The 21,603-nt window shown below is 37.6% G+C and overlaps 1 protein-coding gene across 7 annotated transcripts in view; it reads right to left on the bottom strand.

Moving 5' to 3' along the window:
• MYO16 (myosin XVI) overlaps positions 1 to 21,603 on the bottom strand; it is a 712,290-nt gene that overhangs the window by 152,802 nt on the left and 537,885 nt on the right. For all 7 annotated transcript variants that reach the window (XM_011521062.2, XM_047430183.1, NM_015011.3 and 4 more), the window contains 3 exons: positions 8,213 to 8,288; positions 2,729 to 2,904; positions 78 to 158 (listed from right to left, as the gene is read on the bottom strand). In XM_011521062.2, coding sequence (XP_011519364.1) covers positions 78 to 158; positions 2,729 to 2,904; positions 8,213 to 8,288 — 333 coding nt within the window. The remainder of the gene's footprint in view (positions 1 to 77; positions 159 to 2,728; positions 2,905 to 8,212; positions 8,289 to 21,603) is intronic.

Genomic DNA, 21,603 nt, shown 5'->3' with positions numbered 1-21,603 from the left:
AAAAAAAAGTCTACATAAACCCTCTTTAGTTGCTATAAACATACATTAAGTTTTTGAAATCTGAAAACGTCACTAACCCTGAGTTGTGATGCTATGGTGACTGGATCTCCTCGTTCCAATCTTTGAAGAAATGTAGAAGTTCCTTTCTTTTTTAATAACTGTAATAAAAAGAAAGACAAGAAGGACAGGAGAAAAGAAAGGAAAGGAAAGGAAAGGAAGAAGGAGGAAAAGGAGGGAGGAAGGGGAAGGGAAGGGAGGGAGAAAGGAAAAAAGAGAAAGAAGGAAGGAAGAAGAAAAGAAGGAGGAAGAAAGGAAGGAAAGAAGACAGAATGGAGAAAAAGAAAAAGTGAGCAAATTTATTTTACTAAATTTCAGTTCAGAAGAGCAAAATATTAAGTCTCACATCCATGTACATTCACTTACAGGCAAATGTGGATTTAAAACACAGTTCGTACAAATCAGTGCCAAGTGATTTTTGTAATGGTGTATAAGTTGAGGAAATGGGCAACTATTTGTAAAATAACAACTGTTACTGCCAACCTTTCAAGTACAGGGCTGTTGTGTAAATCAGATCTATCACCATCCTGCACTCATTTTAGTGTGAAAATAAACATAGATCCTCATTTGCTTGGTGGTACAATAAACTCACGATCATATCCTGGTTATGCTACTAACTGTTCATATTTATCATGAAATGTAGTTTACTCTGGGGCAAAATGATGGTGTTTTATGTTACAAAGATTTTATGTGTCAATTATCATTGGTTTGTTCCCTTAAATTTAACTACACTCAGGAGTTGAATGAATGAATGGTCTGATGCTTTCTTACCATGTTTTTCTTCCCTTTCCTCCTCTTCCTCGTTTTATAACTACTAAGAAAAGGTTACTAAATTACCTATCTGTAAAAAATGGTAGTAGACTCTATTTTTTTTCAAATAAGCAAATATGTGCAGCCCTGAAAAGAAAAAGATCATATGTAGAAAAGATTACATGATGATAGAGACATAAAATCAGTGAAAATGAGGCCAAAACGAAATAAAGGGCAGAAATAAAGGGCGGAAGGTAATTAATTAAATTCCACCCAGGGTTAAAAGGAACCTCAGCCACTAACCTACTATTACATTTCACAAAATTATATATTAGACTAATGGACTTATTGATCTAAAATCGTTTTTCTTAAAAAAGGTCTTGATACAAGAAGGAAATCTGAGATAACATTCTTGTGGATTTAGTGCTTTTGCTATTATGACAATAGCTCATTTTCTTCTGTTAAGATGTACTGTCAATCTAAAGTGATTCATTGGTACTGACAAGTGAACGTAAAATGAAGTGATTGGGCCAAGATCAACCCGTTTTCTACAAACACAATACAACGTGTCATGCTCAGTTAAAGAGTAGGGAAAATCCTATTTTCCTGGCCACAGGGGTGGCTGTGCATGGATGAAGGCAGTTTGAAGGGAAGTGAGAAATAGAACATTTAAGGAATAATCATAATAAATAGCTGTCTGTCCCTTGAAATGGAACACTCCAGTTCCCTTTCTGGGTGGAGGAACTACTGTGAGTTACCTCCCTTCTGCAGTCCTTTAGGGAAAAGAGTAATGGCACCTAGGCTTCGTAATGTTTAATAATTGAGGTTAGCAGTGTGTGATGGTTTTTGCTCTTGATTTTTAGGATGATTGAGAAAAGAGGGGCCAGAAGGTTCAGGAAGACCTCCAGTCATAGAGATCTTTCTTATAAGGATAAGCTTGGGTTCTTTTTTTTTAATGTAAAAAATGCCATTTTCTATGTGGCAGAGACTAATTCTCATGATCATTTAGTTCTAAACAACTACATCAAAGGATCTTTTATTCTAGAAGCCACTGGCTGGAGCACACACTCACACTCACTCACACTCATATTACACATTTTGGCCACTCTTCTAAAATAGAATTGAATTTAATTATGCTTTTATTTTAATTGGTAAGTTAAAATGTATTCCAGAAGCTGCAACAATTGCATTTCTAAAATTGATTGTCCTGAACACCTTCCCAAATATATTCCTCATCTTTTATAGTTTTGGTAGACATAAGCAAAACACTCTGGAATACCATCTGGCACTGGATTCTGAAGAAACCTAAAACATTCCATACATGTTTCCTATCAGTTTGAAACAACTCTTCACTGAGTTTTTAGTTCTCTTTTGGCACATAGAATCTTGAGTTTGTGTATACAACCAAACTTTTGCGAGACAAATATACATTACAAATTAGTATAATACAATAAAATTAAACATCTACAAACATGCAGTAAAAACATCCTAGCACCTGAACAACACCCTACGTCTATAAGAGAAACAACAATTTATCATTTAGAGACCTCAGTTATCTGAAGTGATTAATATCAACAGAATAAGATAGCTAAGTTTACTCCCTCTAAGCCTACAGTATCTGAAGTTACCTTCTATTCATCAAAAAGGCAGTCAGAGATGAAACAGAACTGGGATGTTGCACAGACAACCAATAAAATGACTCGGACTATACTTACTATTAAAATTGTCACTCTGCTGCACCTTCCTCTACTCTTCCTTCATTCTGATGGTTATACATCAGATAGGCATTCTTTTCCTTAATACTTTCTATTAGAATATCTATTTCCTTGGTATTTAAAATTGTGCTTTTTTTTAAAAAAAAAGAAGCAAATATACTTATCAAAATTAAAAATAATCCAACAATAATCATAAAAACTCCTACCTTACTAAGTTCTAGATAATTCTTGTTTTCTCCAATAATTGAAGAAGCTGTCATTTTCTTACTGAGCAGGGCAGACTTATGTCCTCGGAATTTAAAGGAAGGATAGGCAGATACGAGGGATCCTGTTTGTGACAATTTCGACTGGAACAAATGATTGATCACGACATTTTCACTAGCTAGGAAATAAATAAATGAATATCGTAAGTGGCACTAAAATTATTACTTAAGCATTGAACTTATTCTTCATACAAGAGCTCTAGCCACTGATACATTCTGGGTGCAAGACGTCATTCGTTCAGCAGATTGAGGAGTCTACCTTTTCCTGTATCCTTATTTTATTTCCTCCACTATTTAATATCATTGACAAATTCTGACATTCACTACCCTTGACCAGGAGTCTTGATCCCAACTGGGCCTTGCTCTCTAACTGAGTAACACTTCTATCCTAGTTTTCAGAACCAAATCTTACCTGCTCAGACCTAAGGGGCTTTTGTGCACTTGTCAAATCATGAAGACTTATGGTCTCTATTAGAAACGCCCCATTCCAGGAAAATAACTACTCAGGAAAATGTTTCCCCAGGACCTAACTCACCTGTCTCAGAGCCGTCTGTAAGTACCTGTGAGAGGACCTGCCTTACTTGGTGCACCAGTTGCTAGGTGAAAGAAGGGAAAAGAAGTGTCCTTTTATTTAAAAAACAAAACAAAACAAAACAAATAACAAAAAACACAGTTAAGCTGAAAAGGTAAAAGCAAAATGATATATTTTCATGTTTAAGTTATAAAAATCAAATAATTCTGAGTCCATGAGTCCATATTCCTTTCTTGACACCTCAGGAAGAAATTAGAGCTCAGTTGAGTGGATTTTGGATTACAAATTTAAAAATCACAGGGAAAACAATGTATGTGGCGGTTAAGGGTCAAAAGGAATGTTTCTTGTGTTACTTATATCTGAATGTAGGTGGTTTTTAAGCCTAAGTGTCCTTTCCTATAAAATAATGATGACAGTACCTACTTTGAGAATCACTGCAAAATTAAAATGTGAAATAATGAACATAAATCACTAGGATCACGCTTAGCCAATCAGACAGTTGGCAACGTTTTGTGGCAAAGTGTTTAGTTTCTGCCTTTGCCATACTCAAATTATTTTGCCTGCCCAGGTGCAAAATGCGGGTGACATAATATATATCTGTAATGCTTTCCATTAAAAAAATCCCTACATTAGGTAATAAACGAACAGGGAAGCAGGAAGAACTGTCAGGAAAAGGAGATACAATTATGCAATGCAAAAGGGGCCCTGTGATGTTGGGATGAAATTAGAGATAGCAAGAGAAATCCATGATTCTTAATACAGAGTTACAGATCTATACACCTATATGTTATCTATACTTACATCTTAAATGTTCAGATTCCAAAAGGTCCTAAAAGCAATCATACACCAGTAGCAATGAGCTCACCCAGCCTCCAGATCTTGGAGTTTCTGAATACCATTCTTTTCTAAGATAAATCAAAGCTTCCTGAACAAATGTCTGATTCTAGATTTGAGGCAAGGTAAATGATTCTGGAACATTTTTGGAAGGCCAGAATGTAAGGCAGTGTTAAAAAAAAAAAAAGTCAAGAGACTATGTCAAAAAGAAATAGGAGCTAGCTTTGAAGGGGTTCTTACTGGTCAAGTCTCAAACAATTTTAGCATCAGTATAATCATAGTAATTAATCATTATTCATTGAATAACATAAGAATCCATGAGTGTACACTCATAAATAAATAATTAATAAAGCAGTGGGAATTATTATAGCAGAATGCCACTGTTTATTGAAAGATGGGGTAAGAAAATCAAAATTTTGCAATCATAAGAAATAACTGATTTAGGCAAGAATCATGAACGCATGTAAAACTAATGGGTAAAAGTTTGATGAGGAACAGAATATTTACATAGTTTCAAAGTACTTTCTCACAAATTACTCATTAATAACAAAGGGAAAACAGCAAGCTTTATGTTAGAAAAAGCTGAAGAGCACCGCCTTATCACAGTGCTCATGGTGAACCTGTTTCAAACCGTGACTGCCTCCGAATGTGATGTGCCGAGAAGGATACCCCACTACCTCTTGGGACTCCTGGCCAAAAATTCATAACCTGCTTCTAAAATAAAGAAATAGCAAATAAACTCAAACAGAGCGATTTCTACGAATTAACTGGCATTAAAAAAAGTCATGAAAGAGAGAGAAAAGCTGAAGAACTGTCTCAGATTTAAAGGAAAAATGATAACTAAATGCAATCAATGATCCTGAATTAGGAGAAAATGACCATAAAAGACTAATATTAGTGGGACAATTGGTAAAACTTTATATGAATTCTGGATTAGATATGAGTAGTACATCCCTGTTGAATATTCTGATAATTTACTGAAGTTATGTAAGATAATGTCCCGTCTCAGGGTGGGCACCAAACTATTTAGACAAGAAGAGGCAAGCAACTTACTTTCAAATGATTCAGAAAGTAAACACACACACACACACACACACACACACACACACACACACACACACACACAGGACAAAGGAAGGAAAGAGGAGAACAAAAGATGGAAAGAGATAGAAAGAAAGATAGCAAGAGGGTAAAAGAAAGGTAATGAAAAAAATGAATCTGGGAAGAGGATACCTGGGAGTACTTTATAATGATTTCGTCACTTTAAGTTTAAAACCACTTCAAAATAAAAAGTTAAATGATAAATACATAATAGTATAGCCAACTTAAATAATTATTTATAGTTATAGCAGGTCTATGTATAAGTGAACCCACAGATAAGCAATGCAACATTTTATTCTTATAATTGAGAAAATGCCTCTAATAAAACTGAAAACATTACTGAGAAGGTGGGTAGTACAAAAAAAAATTTAAAAAGAAAAATAAAAGATTTAAAAAACTGAAAACATGAGACATAAATATGGTCCAAAATATGTAACTGACCCAGTTTTGTATTTTCCCTGAATCATGTGGTCAGGCTGCATGAAGATATAGCAAGATCCATGTCATCCTATGGGCACAGGGAGATGCCATCACGCTTTGGGCCCTAACGGGAGAGCCCTGACCACAGCTGAGCACATGGCAGGAGACAGCAAGTTCCTCCAGGACTTTAAAGAGAACTCTACTATCCATTTGCCTCTTAAAACCGAGCAAAGGAACTCCTGGTGAAGAGGCATATTTCTCTCACTGGGATTACAAGGAGTCACTGACCACAAACCATTTTCTTCATGTCACTCTATATAAATACTGAGAGCGGAAGTGTCCCTCACTGGGATCTACAATCATTGTACAAGGTCTTTCTACCTGTAAAGAGGGATAACCTAACTTATAAGCAAGTGTACAGAGACACACAGCAAAAAAAAAAAAAAAAAGACTCAATAATTATTAACATAATTGACAGTAAATCCTAAATTTTCCTAAATCCTAAAATTTTCTATTCCTGTGAGCAGAATTAAAAGTCTGGAGTTCGGCTTTTTTTTTTTTTTTTTTCTGCCTCCTTTTGAGTGAAGTAGACTTTACTTCTAATCTTAGGCACTAATGAGTGTATTTGCTGTGTGTCTCTATGAGCTGTCTCCAAGCTCCCTGACTGTACCTGGTTAGTGGTCTCAGAGACTCAGCTCTGCTTGTGTACATTCTACAACAGACCTCACCATCTTCCTCAACTGGGAGCTTTTTGATGCTACGAAAATTGAATTAGATACTATAAGCAAAGTACCTGCAAATAAAAATTATTATTTATGAATTACACTTGCTTTTAATAAATATGTACAAGCATCAAAGTATTTCACAGATTCATAAAACATGATGGCAACCACAAATATTTTGCTTTTATGATAGAGTGAGTGAGCAATCATGGCTCCTGAGCCAAACATGGCCCACTGCCTGTTTTTGTAAATAAAATTTTATCAGAATACAGTCACATCCATTTGTATTGTCTACAGCTGTTTTTCACATTATAACAGCAGAGGTGAGTAACTGCAACAAGGATCTTATGGTGCACAAGGTCTAAAATATTTATTCTCTAGCCCTTTACAAAAAAAAAAATCTGACACCTCCTGTATAAATACAAAAGGGTACATTGTAAATTCTGTCCTTTTGCTCAGAAGCACCTTCCTCCTAAAGAATAAAAAAAAAGACTGAATTGTTTTTTCCTGGAACTTTTTTTTGTACAAATTTACATAAAAGAATGATTTTAAAATACAGGGACTCTATTAAGATAAGCAGACTAGCCATCATATTTTCATTCTAAATACACACACACACACACACACACACACACACACACACACACACACACACATATCCTATTAACATGAAATACAAAAGTAAAAAAAGCATTGTGTAAACTTTTAAATACATGCTATATATTAGATCTCCATAAAAGAGAAGTGCATTATAAATAAAAGTGCAAATAATAGCACACTAAAAGGAAGATTTTCCAATGATAATAAATAAGACCAATTCTTTTCCGTCTTCATAATGTTATTCTTTGTTTTTTTTGTTAGTTTTAGCTAAGAGAACTCACAATAAACATAAGTTCTGAGAAGCAAGCAGAATAATCTTCAGTGAAAAACAGTGTATTACAGCTGTGCTGCTGTAATTTGAGGCAAATATGTTTCTCAAACCAGAAGTGATATAGATTTCTTATTTTCAATGCTAGAGCATTCAACTATTTCACGAAAAAGCTATCCTGTGCTTCTTTTAAAGATGAATGACTATTTCATTTATAGCAACTTAAAGCATACAAGATGCAATGTTTTAATTCACTATAAAGGTTATTAGAAAAATGTGAATCACTGCAGAACTGCTGTTAAGAAAATAATTACTAGAGGCAGAATTATGTATATATGTATGAATATACATTTAATTATCACATATATACATTTTGTATACAGTCTTGTATATAGTGTAGAATTATAGTAGATATATGCATATAAAGTATTAATGCTCATTAAGTAGAAGGGTCCTATACATTTAAACTTACTTGTGTATACATATATATACTCCTTCTATTTCTACTCCTCCTACATAGTGAGCATGAATATTTTATAACTGAAAGTACATAAGAATAAAATACCACCCTTAGTTGTGCTCCAGAGTCATCTTAAGTAATGAAATTCTCCCTGTTGTGGCTTAAATAACGTTGGAAGCCATACTCATCTTCATTAGTCTTCACAGAAAAGCTTTTCTATATTCAACCCACTAAAGTAGTAAGGGTATTTTACATTTCTATCTGCTAAAAGCTTAGTTAAATTATGGTTTCCATTGGACTCCAAATTACATTGTAGCCAACATATAGTGCAGCAAGACCCATTTCTCATTAGTCTGGGCATTAGAATGCAAAAGGCATTTCAATTATGCTTTAGCTGGTAGCATATTTTCTAGGAAAATATTCAGAGATAAAGAAATAACGGATGCATGGCATTTTAACCAGTGTAGGGCAGGAAAAAAAATCAACTTACTTTTCATTACAAATAGAAGATTCTGTGAAAGGGAGTCTTTATTTTTTTCAATCGCCCCAACAACATCATACATTACCTAGAATAAAAGAAAGCAGCATAATTACTAATGATTCAACATGACTGTGAAAATAAATTCCTTTAAAGGATAACTTGACCCAGCTGAAGTTTTCAAATATTCATAAAAGAAGTGTCTTCAGGTCTTACAGTTCACGTTACATGCAAGTTCCAAGCTATAATCTGCCTGTTCTCATTCTGTACATTAAACAAGGGAACCCTCTTCTGTTCTATTTTGTGAAGGTCTCCTTTGATTGCCAAGTTTAAGAGCAAATAGTGACGGTTCACATTCATGTAGTTTCCTTTATTCTTAAGGACTCTAACTTGCTCAGAAAACTCACTAAACCAAGTAAACACACTTGCGAAACTTTTGGAATGAAGTGTGATTTCAGTTTGAGAAATTTAATAGTCTCCTAATTTAAAAAGTTCTGCTTGAATACTTAAAGAATTAGTACTCTTAAGTCTTTACAATTAAGAACACATAGGAAACAATTAATTCTGGATTTCTAAAGGGCAATCTTCTTCACCATAGGTGATTTATGAATCAATTAGAAGGATGTTATAATTTTATCAGCCTACTAGTAGAGGCTGAGAAACTTGATCTTTGAAGACTGAAATAGTTTGTTGTCTCTCTTAGTGTCAACTAAGTGTGAAATCTCAGTGGTCATGGGAAGCTGATCAGCCATACATTCTTTAAAAGGCTTACCTTTGAAAATATACCTTGGGGCACAGACCACGGTCAGTGTGTCATAGTCTGTTCTCTGCCCAGTGTGGACCGGTAGTGGATAATGGGAGACACAAAACCAGTGAGGCCTCTTTACTCCTGAGCAAGAGTGAGCAACAACCAAGAAAGGGGGTGAGCATCAGCCATGAGGGAGGGCGAGGATCCGCCATGAGGGAGGGCGAGGATCCGCCATGAGGGAGGGCGAGCATCCGCCGTGAGGGAGAATTTGCCTCCTCGCCTGAGGGAGAGTGTGCCTCGGCCATGCGGGAGTATAAGAGTTATGCCTGTGGACATTTGAGTGTCACCCATGAGGTAGTATGGATGGCTAACCTGAGTTCTTTGGGAATTTTGTCTAGAGAGCCCAGAGAGGACTGGATTCTTTGCAGTGAATGGATATTAGAGACAGCAGAAGAAACTATGAAGAAAGGGCTGTGCAGACTGTGGAAGGACCTGGAAAAGGTGGGTGATCCCTGATGCAACTTCCTTTCTATAGGCTTTTATATTTGCATCTGCCACAATGGGTGCCTGATTATCTCCACCTTTCCCATAAAGGCTGAGTTTTTATTCTTTGCTGTTACAAGGTCCTAAATAAAACAGAAGTAATAAGGCATCCCACACATTCCCAGGTTTTCCAATAAATTTGGGTCAGAAGATCAGTTGAGCTGGGGGACAATGCCAAAATCTTAAACTACTTTCAGGTACAAGTAAACCATTACCTAATTATCCAGTTTGCACTTGTGCCACCACATGGCTTAGTGATACTGAAATGTGAGCTACATATGATGTGACACACCATACGTTGTTAAATGTGAACAATTTATACAACCTAGAGCAATGGTTCTCAATCATAGCCTCCAGGGGACACTTGGTCGTTTCTGGAGACATTTTTCCTGTCACAACTGGGGGTGATAGTTGGGCAGAGATGTTGCTACACATCCGTGTGTGCACAGAGAAGCTCCCACAGCGTGGAGTTATCTGGCTATAAATGTTCATAGTGCTGAGGTCAAGAAACCTCCATCTAGAGGCTTGGCTTCCCTATGCCTTCCTGAGTTAGGAGCAGCAGTGCCCAGCAAAACCATGGAGAAGTCAACACATCTTCAAAGCTATGTGGAATTAGGCAAGTCATTCAATGTTCCAGTGCTGCAGTTTCTTACTTGGTAAAATGAGAGTAAAAATGCATTACCACACTGTTAATATTGTGATGTAATATACATGAAAGTTCTTAGGGCCGAGTGCGGTGGCTCACGCTTGTAATCCCAGCACTTTGGGAGGCCAAGGTGGACAGATCACGAGGTCAGGAGTTTGAGACCAGCCTGACCAATACAGTGAAACCCCATCTCTACTAAAAATACAAAAATTAGCTGGGTGTGGTGACAGACGCCTGTAATCCCAGGTACTTGGGAGGCTGAGGCAGGAGAATTGCTTGAACCTGGGAGGCGGAAGCTGCAGTGAGCTGAGATTCTGCCATTGCTTTGTAGACCAAAAACAAGTTATTTGAAGTATAAGGGGTTACAAATAGTGTGGGTAATCTCTACAAAGTCCTACTGTGTTGTGCTCTTACCCAACCATGCTCACATGACTTTAGTAGTTATTCCAATTCACTTCTAGAAAATTAATGGAAGTTGAGATAATTTCTTCTGGCATACTATATAACAGGTATGATCATCAAATTCTGTGAGTATCAGTGATTCATTTTTCACTTTATTCCTAGCTTCCTCAAATGTCATTTCAGTTACATCAAAAAGGACTATGGATTTACTAAAGATCTCATCCAAATGCCTCCAATCATATCCTTCTCCATGACTTTGAGTATTTCTGGTGCAAATATTTGGAAGTACCCTACCTCCAAGATATTCAAATCCTGACTCTCATCTCTAATAGCCTATTAACGTTATTCTCTTCCACTTTCTAAACATGCTTTTCATTCCCACTGGCATCTCCCCTCCTTCAATTCATCCATAGTTTCTAAAGCAACGGCCTATTTTGACTTCTTTCAGGTCTCAAGAAAACCTGAAACTTAGGGCTTAGCATTTAAGTAGCAAAAGCCACTGATAAGCTGCCACCATTTTTTTTTTCATCATAGTCAGTCATTCCTAATTGTAGTGAATGACATGGTCAATCATTGGATCTGACTGTAATTCGGTATCATTTGCATCTGCCACAAATTCATTCTGACATCTCAGATGGACCCTGTCTGGCTGCTAAGAAGTTCCCCAATTCACCTCTTGATAATGCCACATTACAATCCTCACAGTAACTGTTAGAAATCTTTTTGCCTCTTTTCAAGCTTCCAGCCCCAGCCCAGATTGGCTCATTCTCAGAAGATGGCCATATTTCTTACTTAAAAATTCAATACTCTCTCACTTGAAATCTCTGAATCATTCATTCGTCCTTCTCTCCTTCCTCATGTTCACTGCTGCACGTTATGTAGATTAGAAACCAGGGTGCCATCTGGGATCCCCTCCCCCAGGACGGCTCCCTGTCATCTGCCAATGGCTGCAGCTTTCCCCTCATTTTCCCTTCAATCCCTGCTTTTTTATATTTACTACCTTCACACTAGTAAAAACCATCACTTATTATTTTGACAGACAAATAGTCAAAAAGGCTAAGTACTGGCCTTTTTACATCCTCACTTTAATGCAACACTGCTATTTGATGCATACATTAAACTGAGAATGTCATTTCTCCTGTTCAGAACCTCTGACTCTGTCATATAGAGTCTTCCTCTATATAGCCACAATCTACAATTCTAGCTTAGTCTCTGCATGGAAATCCGATGATTTCAAATGAAACACACACGCACACACATGCACACACACGCACAACTGGACCATCAGAGTTTCATTAAATACATTTCTTGCCTATCTTTGTTCATGCTATGGGCTTGTTTTTTGATAGTGCTTCCAAACTTCCCTGGTAAAACTGCTACCAAGTGTCTTCAGGGCGATGACTACGCATTTCTCAGTTCTGTCTCTGCAGCAGCCAGCACAATGCCTTGTCTATTGGATGCAATCAATAATCATTTAGTGAAATGGATAGCAAGTTTTGGTTATACTGTAACTAAATACAGCATAACATTGTGCTGTCATTTTTATTTAATATAATGCTAACTAATCTTTCATCAGCACAAGATAATGTTCTTTGGAAAGTTCTCATACATGGCACCCGGTTTACGTGGATATCTAGAGAAAATGCTGAAGGTCTTCCATTCAAACTAAAGTAAAAAAACTCCCATTTGGAGACTTCAATTCACTGTTACCTGGGAAAATGCATTTAACATCCACATACAACGACAAACATTTGCTGATGGCAGTTTGATTTTTGTAGGAAGCATAGTGTTTAGTAACTCTTTTTTTATTGCTAAAAGGACATTTGTATGAAGTTAACGAATTGTGAAGCAGGTGAGCTTAATTATTTTTGTGATATCAGACAAGCTCTTTACATTCTTTGAGTCTTTCTTAATGTGTTAAATAATATTACCTAAGGGCCCTCCAACTTTAAAAGCCTTTGACCCTATTCATAAGATATAGATGACCAGTACTGACAGGATTTGAGTTGACAGATGAACACAAGTATTAGAGACTATGCAAATAGCTTATACATTTTTTCATAATAATGCAAACAATTGATAACATGTTACATAAAATTGGCATTCGTGGATTGTTAACACATGGTTGCAAACAGTGTTTTGTTGTTGTTGTTGTTGTTGCTGTCTTTTCCTGGTGCTAAATTTGGAATCAAGTATTCCCTCCGGGACATCTTGCAAATTTTTGTGAAGAGAAATGACATGGAGACCATCTGAACTGTAAGGATTCACAATAGCACATTGTGTGATTGAGTACTGGATCAACCAATGTTTCTAGGTATTTCTAGTGGACACAGCCAAGTAATTTAAATACACAACATAAACATGCACACACAAGCATGCACAAATACTTTTCTTTTCCATTTAAAGATAAAATACTACTCGATTCCAAATTAGGTCTTTTAACCGTGATACTTTCCTTGATCAGTGAAGTTTCACATTGGCCTTGTCAAAGGCAATTTGAGGGCCCAGCCCAGTGGCTCATGCCTGTAATCTCAACACTTTTGGAGGCCGAGGCGGGTGGATCACTTGAGGTCAAGAGTTCGAGATCAGCCTGGTCAACATGGCAAAACCTGTCTCTACTAAAAATACAAAAACTAGCCAGGTGTGGTGGTATACGCCTGCAATCCCAGCTACTCGGGAGGCTGAGGCAGGAGAATCGCTTGAACCCAGGAGGTGGAGATTGCAGTGAGCCGAGATCACGCCACCACTGCACTCCAGCCTGGGCAACAGAGTGACACTCTAGTCTCGGAAAAAAAAAAAAAAAGGCAATTTGAAAATCAAAATAAATGATGTCCATTTATGCCCTTTATTGTGTCTACATGTATCCTGTTTCTATTACCATTAAATATTTTTAAAGTTTTAATTTTGAAATAAGTTTAGATTTGTATACAGTTGTAAGAAATGATACAGATAAATCTTGTGTACTCTTTACTTAATTTCTTTCAATAGTAACATCCTGCAAAACTATCACAACCAGGATATTGACATTAATGCAGTGAAAATATAGAATATTTACATCACCACACGGATCCCGCATGTTGCCAATTTATAAACAATTTCACTTCCCCAAAATCAGTTGAGTCCCTTTGTGTGGTTCTATTTCTGTGTCCTTATTCCGTTCCATTAACCTATGTGTAACATGCTTTAAGGACGTTAAATGGAGAAGGTGAATTCCTCCCACTTCATTCTTCTTTATAAACATTGTTTTAGCTATTCTATCTTCTTTACCTTTCAATGTAAATTTTAGAATGGTATCATCTATACCTTTATATCTATAAAAATTTTACTGTGATTTGGATAGGAATGCATTAGCCTATATGTCAATCTGGGGAGAACTGATTACTATGATGATTACTATTAAATTGACACTATATTGTCTTCAAATCTATAAACATGAAATGTCTTTCTTTTTATCTAGATCTTTAATTTATTTTATCAGAATTTTGTGGTTTTCGCCACACAAGTTCCCTACATATTTTGTTAGATTTACACCTAAGTATTGCATTTTTATGAGCAATTGTAAATGTAATTGTATGGTTCACTTCAATGCCCATTGCTAGTATACAGAAATACAATTGATTTTTTGAATGTTTATCTTGTGTCTTGTGACCTTGCTAAACTCACTTATTAGTTCTTTGAGTCTTTCCTTTCTTTTTTTATGGTAGATTTCTTGGGATTTTACACAAAGGCAATTAAATAAGCACAGGTTTATTTCCTCCTTTCCAATCTGTTTGCCTTTTATGTCCTTTCTTGCTTTATTACACTTGCTAGAACTTCCAGCAGCCTATGTTAAGAGTGGTGAGAGCAGACATCCTTGTCTTGTTTCTGATCACAGAAGTAAAACATCCAGATTTCACCCTTAAATATAATATTGGCTGTAGGATTTTTGTAGAAACTCTTTATCAAGTTCAGGTTATCTTTTCCATTCCTATTTGTCTGGGAGTTGATTTTTATCATGACTGGATGTTAAATTTTATCAAATGCTTTTTCTTCATCCTGTGATATAATCATGTATTTTTTTCTTCTTTGACCTGTTGATGTGATTGATTACCTTGATAGATTTTGAGATATTGAATCAGCTGTGCATCCCCAGAAAAAGAAAACAAAAACCAAAACCGTTCTTTTTATATATTGCTAAGTTCTATCTGCTAATATATTAAACATATTTTTTCACCTATATTCATGAGGGATGTTTTTTGTTTTTAATTTTCTCTCTCTCTCTCTCTCTCTCTCTCTCTCTGTGTGTGTGTGTGTGTGTGTGTGTATGCTACTGTCTGTGTGGTTTTGGTGTTAGGATAATACTTGCTTTATCAAATGAATTAGAGAGTATTCTTTTCTATTTTCTAGAAAAGATTGTGTAAAGTTGGCTTTAATTTTCCTTAAAACATTTGGTAGAATTCTCCAGTGAAACAATCTGGAATAGGAAGCTTTTTTGAGAGACTTTAAATTACAAATTCATTTCTTAAAAGTTATGGTGCTATTCAAATTGTCTATTTCATATTGGGTGAATTGAAGTAGCTTGTGTTTTTTGAGGAATTGATCCATTCATCGAAGTCATAGAATTTATGTGTGAGAGCTGTTTGTAATATTCCCTTTGTATCTTTTTGATGTCTACAGGGCCTATAATGATTTTCCTTGTTTTATTACTGATATTGGCTATTTATGTATTTTCTATTTTCTCTTTGTCACTCATATTATAGGTTTATAATTTTTATTGGTGTTTTCAAAGAACCAGCTCTTTGTTTCATTGATTTTCTCCTTTTTTTCTAATTCCATTGATTTCTGCTTTTTTGTCATCGGTTTCCATTTGCTTACTGTGGTTTATTTTGCTCCTACGTTCCTGAGATGGGAGCTTAGATTATTGGTTTGAGATTTTCCCTATTTTCTAACGTACGCATTTAGTGATATACATTTCTCATTCAATACTATTTTAGCTGTGCCACACAAGTTTGACATGTTGTACTTTCATTTTCATTAGGTTCAGCATATTATTTTTAATTCTGTCACGATTTCCCCTTTTATCCATGGATTATTTGGAAGGGCACTGTTAAGTTTCCAAGTATACAGAGATTTGGCTGTTTTCTTCCCGTTATTGATTTCTGGGTTGATTCCATTGTGGTAGGCAAACCTACTCTGTATAATTTCAATTCTTTTGAGTTTGCTTAGTTTTGCTTTACGGCCGAGCAGATAGTCCATCTGGACACATGTCCCATGGGTACTCGAAAAGAATATGAGTTCTGCTTTTGCTGGTGGATGTGTTTATAAATATTGACTAGATCCTATTGGTGATGGTGTTGTTCAGTTCTCCTGCACCCTTGCCGATTGCCTATGTCATTGTTTTACCAATTGTTGAGAGGAGGGTGTTGAAGTTTCCAGCATCACTTTCTGTCTAGCTGGCTCCTTCCAGCACTTGGCAAGAGAAGGAAGGCACAGCCTCACTACTGCCTTGTCAGAGTAGATGTCTAGGTCCCTACCCAGCCTCCTCTGATATGCAAGAAGAATGAATCCTCATTATTTCTGGGTGAAGATAAAGGCTCTACCTCTCCACTAAGCCTCCAGTCATTCTTCCCTGGCTGTGGGATGAGCAGTGGAATGGGCTGAAACACTTCTTTACTGCTTCCTACATAGCCTTCATAAATTGGGTAGTGGGGTATTATCTCTGCACAGTGCTGGAAGTCCTAACCCCCTACCAAGCCTCCTTTGATATCATCACAGTGGCAGGGAGCTAGGAGAAAAATATCCATTTAGAATCTTAGCACAGTAATAAGATCCTAAATAAACCTATGCATTGAAAAATTGTGCACACTAAAAGGAAAACTGTAATTTCAATAAATATAACTAAAAAGATTCTTTAAAATTTTGATTTAAAAAATATAACAAATTTGATTCTAAAAAAAAAGTATAATCTGGACTAAGACAGCCCGAATGTTTTCTTTTTGTCTTAAATGAATACAAAAGCTTTGTATTCATCAGGGTTCTCCAAATGAATAGAACCAGTAGTATAGTATAATATATATAGTCTGAGTTATTGGCTCACATAATTATGGGGGCTGAGAAGTCCCACAATCTGCCATCTGCAAGCTGGAGACCCAGGAAAGTCGACAAGGTAGTTCGAAAGCCTGACAGCCAGAGAGCCAATAGTGTAGATTCCAGTCTAAGTCAGAGGGCCCGAAATCCAGGAGTACCAAGGGCAGGAGATTGATATTGTAGCTCAAGCAGTCAAGCAGAGAGATTTCAACCTTCCTCTCTTTTGCACTATTCAGGCCCTCAAGGGATTAGGTGGTGCCCACCCACCCACTTGAAGCTAGCGAGGGCAACAGCTTAATCAGTCTACTGATCAAATGCTAATCTCTTCCCAAAACACCTCGAAGACACCCTCAGAAATGATGTTCAAGCAGCCATCTGGGCATCCCATGGCCCAGTGAAACCGACACATAAGTTAATCATCACAACCTGGGAGTTAATTCTGAAGAAAAGAGGGAAATGGAAAAAAAATATCTAACTTGATGATCGATCATGTTGGATCCCTGATAAATCCTCACTGTCTACAGAAATATGTACATTTTGCCTAATTAAATCCTTCGCTTTACAGCATTTTCCCATTTTCCCCATTGTACTCCCTACTTTCCTCTACCCTACTCACAGATTCCTCCCTTGCCATCACTGCTGCTTTTCCTTTCAATAAACTCCTTTCCAGCTTCTCCAGCAACCAAGGCCAACTCTGCCTTTCTAGGCCCAAGTCTCTGAGAGGCATCAAGCTGTTGTCAAAAGTGCATTGGCCTTGCTCAGTGACATACCTTCTGGAGTCCAGCTTCAACAAGCCCCAGGGCCTGGATAACCAGGGCAAGTTACTGAGTTTCCAAGGCTTCTCATCTACAACACATAGGCAGTAATGCTGACCTCTCTCTCTAGCTCTTTCTTCCTATCTCTCCCATTCTTTCTCTCTCTCTCTCTGTGTGTCTCTCGGTGGCTTTGGAGATAAATAAAAAGGCTTGTTCCTACCTACCTTTGCATAGTTTTTACTATAGTTTTCTCATGAATATCCCTAATTGATGTTTCTAATGCTCACCTGTACCTTCTTCTTTGCCGTTTTCCAGAGTTTTATACATGACTTACTTGAGAAGGACTCATGGCATTACCTAGGTAATCTGTCTTGAGGCTGCTAAATAGGCTGCCTCCCAATAAAAAGCTTCTCATTCTAGACCCATAATTGTCTCAGGTGAAATTCACTGATTGACAACTTATGAAGGAAATGCTTCCTAAGAAAAGAAGTCTCCCTAGAAAGGAGAGCCCATTAAACTCATCAGCATCTATACGCAGCACCTGGACTTCACTGAGGGCCGCCGCCTCCAGCTCCAGGAAGGGGCAATAACTTCGCATAGAGAAGAAACAAAGAAAAGCTGCACAACAGTGCAGACAAGGCCAGTGGCCTCCCGGGCAATTCAAAGGAAAGTGAGCCTCAGAGCCTAGTGAGATGGAAGCATTTCTAGGAAAGAAAAAGCACTAAGGAGAAACTCAGCCTGTATTAGAATTCACCTAGAGCTTTTTGAGTCTGGAGTGTCAGGTCTGCTGACACACAAAGGTCTGCTCTCTGCTGTGCCACTGGGGAGAGCAGGTTGGTGCTGCTGGAGCAGCAGAGAGAAGATTTTAGGTCGAAGGCTCTCCAGGGTCACTCAGGGCAGCTGCTTGGCTCAGGGCCTTGCTCATCTTTTTTGGTTTATTATTTGTGGGATGAAAGGAGAAAAGCATGAAAGTAGCCAAAGATAGAGGCTGGGTTTATGCCTTCCTTTTCCCCACTCTCTTTACATAACTGATCTTCAGGCTTTATGTATTTATTTTTCCTTCTCAAGATTGGAAGACAGGATTCATGCAGTACATGGCAGCGTCTCTCATGCATGTAATAGAGAAATTTATATTCATGCGACTCAATATGGATCTTTAAGGAAATTGTCATGTATTCAAAATTTCCTTTGGAATGATTCTGTTCAATAAAATAACTCAAAAGAAAACTTAGCATTTTGCTTATGCTGCGGCAGTTAGCGATCCTCATTTAAATGCTCCAGTGTGGATGCCAAATGAGGGGTGCAATATAAACTTGAGAGCAGTGACAGTATGCGGCTTTTTTGGAAGTACTTGCTGTAACACTCCAGCACTGCAATAAATACAATTAAAAGATAAATTATGTCATCTATATATGAAAAAAGGGGTATAAAACTTTCACCATGTCTGTGACTCAAAATTCATCAAGACACTGAGTTTCCTGGCTCCACAAAGAGAACAAAAGTTACAAAGTGCCAAACCACATGGATTTTCTTCCTAACTGAAGGGTGTCAGGCTCATGCTTGGCTAATCACCAAGGAAACTGAAATCCAAAGGCAAGAGAACGCCACAGAAATAGCTCTATCCACCAACACTGGATTTTAATTCCCTGAACTGAAAGCAAGAGCAATTGGCTTACTTCACCTTGTTAAAGAAGGTCCAGGGGTTGGCTGGAGCTGGGGAATAGTGAGTTCTTTATGTCTGCAGCCTCCTTTCTCGCTGTGCCTTGTACCGAGTGAGAGAATAATGCAAAACTGTGAAATGTGAGCACCTACTATGTGGCTAATAATTTTAGTGTCTGTCAAAATGTGCTTTCCAGATTCCCTAAAGGAGAATGTCCTCTGGTGTTTAATAAAAATGCAAATGCTTTCAACTTCACCCCAGACCTCTTTAGTCATTATTTATTGGAGAGAAATCCAGGAAGCTGCATTTTAAACTTGCTCCCCAGTTAAGTTGGATGCACGTTACGTATGAGAATCACAGCTCCAGCTACTAGGAGCTTAGGATGCTCTGTTAACTCAGTCCTTCTATGTGGTGCTGGCAGGTGAGAAAGGAGCAAGGGAGCAGGGTTTGCAGGAAGTAACTGTACACAGTGCATTTTATTTTATTTAATTAATTTTTTTGAAGCAGAGTCTCACTTTGTCACCCGCGCTGGAGTGCAGTAGCATGATCTCTGCTCACTGCAACCTCTGCCTCCCAGGTTCAGGCGATTCTCCTGCCTCAGCCTCCTGAGTAGCTGGGATTGCAGGCATACACCACCACGCCCGGCTAATTTTTGTATTTTTAGTAGAAACAGGGTTTTGCCATGTTGGCCAGGCTGAACTTGAACTCCTGACTTCAAGTGATTCATCTGCTTCAGCCTCCCAAAGTGTTGGGATTACAGGAATAAGCCACCATGCCCGGCCTACAGTGCATTTTAAATAAAGAAACACAGTCCTTCTGAGAACAGCCATTAGAGCAGATATTGACGTATTTTTAAATTGCTGATAGGTTTAAGATGAGATTGGACTATAAGTATACTCAGGGCTAAGCTATTTTCTTAGGGGAGTTAGCATTTTTTGAAAAGTTCTTGTAGAGGGAAAAAAAAAACTTTCAAATACTTTCATCTAAGAGGGTGGCAATAAAGTGCAGGATTTTTCAAAAATCCCTGGTTATTGTGGTACGCTATATATGCCATATATGGTGTTGGAATTTTGGAGAAAATGATATAAAAATGAGAGCGTGGTAAAGTAGAAGGAACAATAGACCAAGGGTTAAGAAGAAGGGATTCTCAATCTATTATAGTTTCTGCTTCTCAACCTATAGAAACACTCATGGGCCATGTGCTGGGATAATTAATTGTGGGAACATGATAGTCAGCTTCTCTGAACCACAGTTTCTTATCTATTTAATTGAGTTTTGATCTCTGGCCACTTCACACTGAATTTTAATGATTTTATCGATTAGCATAATCCATCAACAAAACTATTATTTTAGGGGGCTAGGAATGGCTTATATGTAAATTTAGTAAATGGGCATCTATTTAGATTTTCAGATTGCCTTTGATATGGCTAATATCAAAGGTTATTAAAATATCATCCTTGGATTGAGGAGGTTATCAGGGTTAAAAGACTAAATTTTTAATAAGCCAAGGAAAACAGCAGGGACTAACCTTTTAAAAATATTTTGTAAAATATGTTACATGTTGTATTCGTCTGTTTTCACACAGCTGTAAAGAACTATCTGAGACTGAGTAATTTATAAAGGAAAGAGGCTTAATTGCCTCACAGTTCAGCATGGCTAGGGAGGCCTCAGGGAACTTACAATCATGGCGGAAGGCAAACAGGAAGCAAGGTGCCTTCTTCACAAGGCTGCAGGAAGGAGAAGTGCTGAGCGAAGGGGAAAGAGCTCCTTATAAAACCATCAGATCTTGTTAGAACTCACTGTCACAAGACCAGCACAGGGCAAACCACCCCCATGATTCAATCACCTCCACCTGGTCTCTCCTTTGGGGATTATGGAGATTACAATTCAAGATGAGATTTGGGTGGGGACATAAAGCCTAAGCATATCATATACATTTGTAAAATTTGGAATGTACTAAAAGTAACAAAATTAAAAATTATCTCTAATTCCTTTTTCCAAGGGTAGCCAGCCTTAACTTATATGTCTGTATCTATCAACTCTAACTTTGTCTAGGTATGCACTTTCAAGAGACCTGGACTCTGCCACAAATTGTGCTTTGTGATGTCTTTTTTCTTCAAGGTACGCCCATTTGCTCTCGAATGAATCTGTGCCCTTTTCTGCCCTAAGATGCATTGAGGCAGTGGGGTTCTCAGCCTGGCCTTCCAGATAGGGCTACAACCCTAAAAGCACTGCAGAAAATGACAAGGCAGGAGGAGGGTCCAAGTTTTGGTAATTATCTTCCTCTCCTACAAGGGCTGAATTTCCTCCCTGATTCCATTTTTGTCTTGCAGCCCACTTTTCATAGCCCAATTCTTCCAGAGTAGTGGCCTTGTAGAAACATGTGGCTTCCACCTCCTGCCCTCAGCTCCTGGGGTCCAGAGGTAACTTCTCCTCCCATGATCCTTTAACCTTAGGTAATGCAGCTACTTTCTGCTGTGGATAACCTCTAGATCACTTCAGCATCCCTTGTCTGTCTGCTTAACTTTTCCTGGGGAATCTATTCCCTGTAATCATTTTCTGCTCTTTGAAAATTTAGTACAG

The sequence above is a fragment of the Homo sapiens genome, chromosome 13, assembly GCF_000001405.40.
Source record: "Homo sapiens chromosome 13, GRCh38.p14 Primary Assembly".
Classification (NCBI taxonomy): Eukaryota; Metazoa; Chordata; class Mammalia; order Primates; family Hominidae; genus Homo; species Homo sapiens.
Note: the sequence above shows the minus strand (reverse complement) of the source record. Positions and strands in the feature narration are given on the sequence as shown.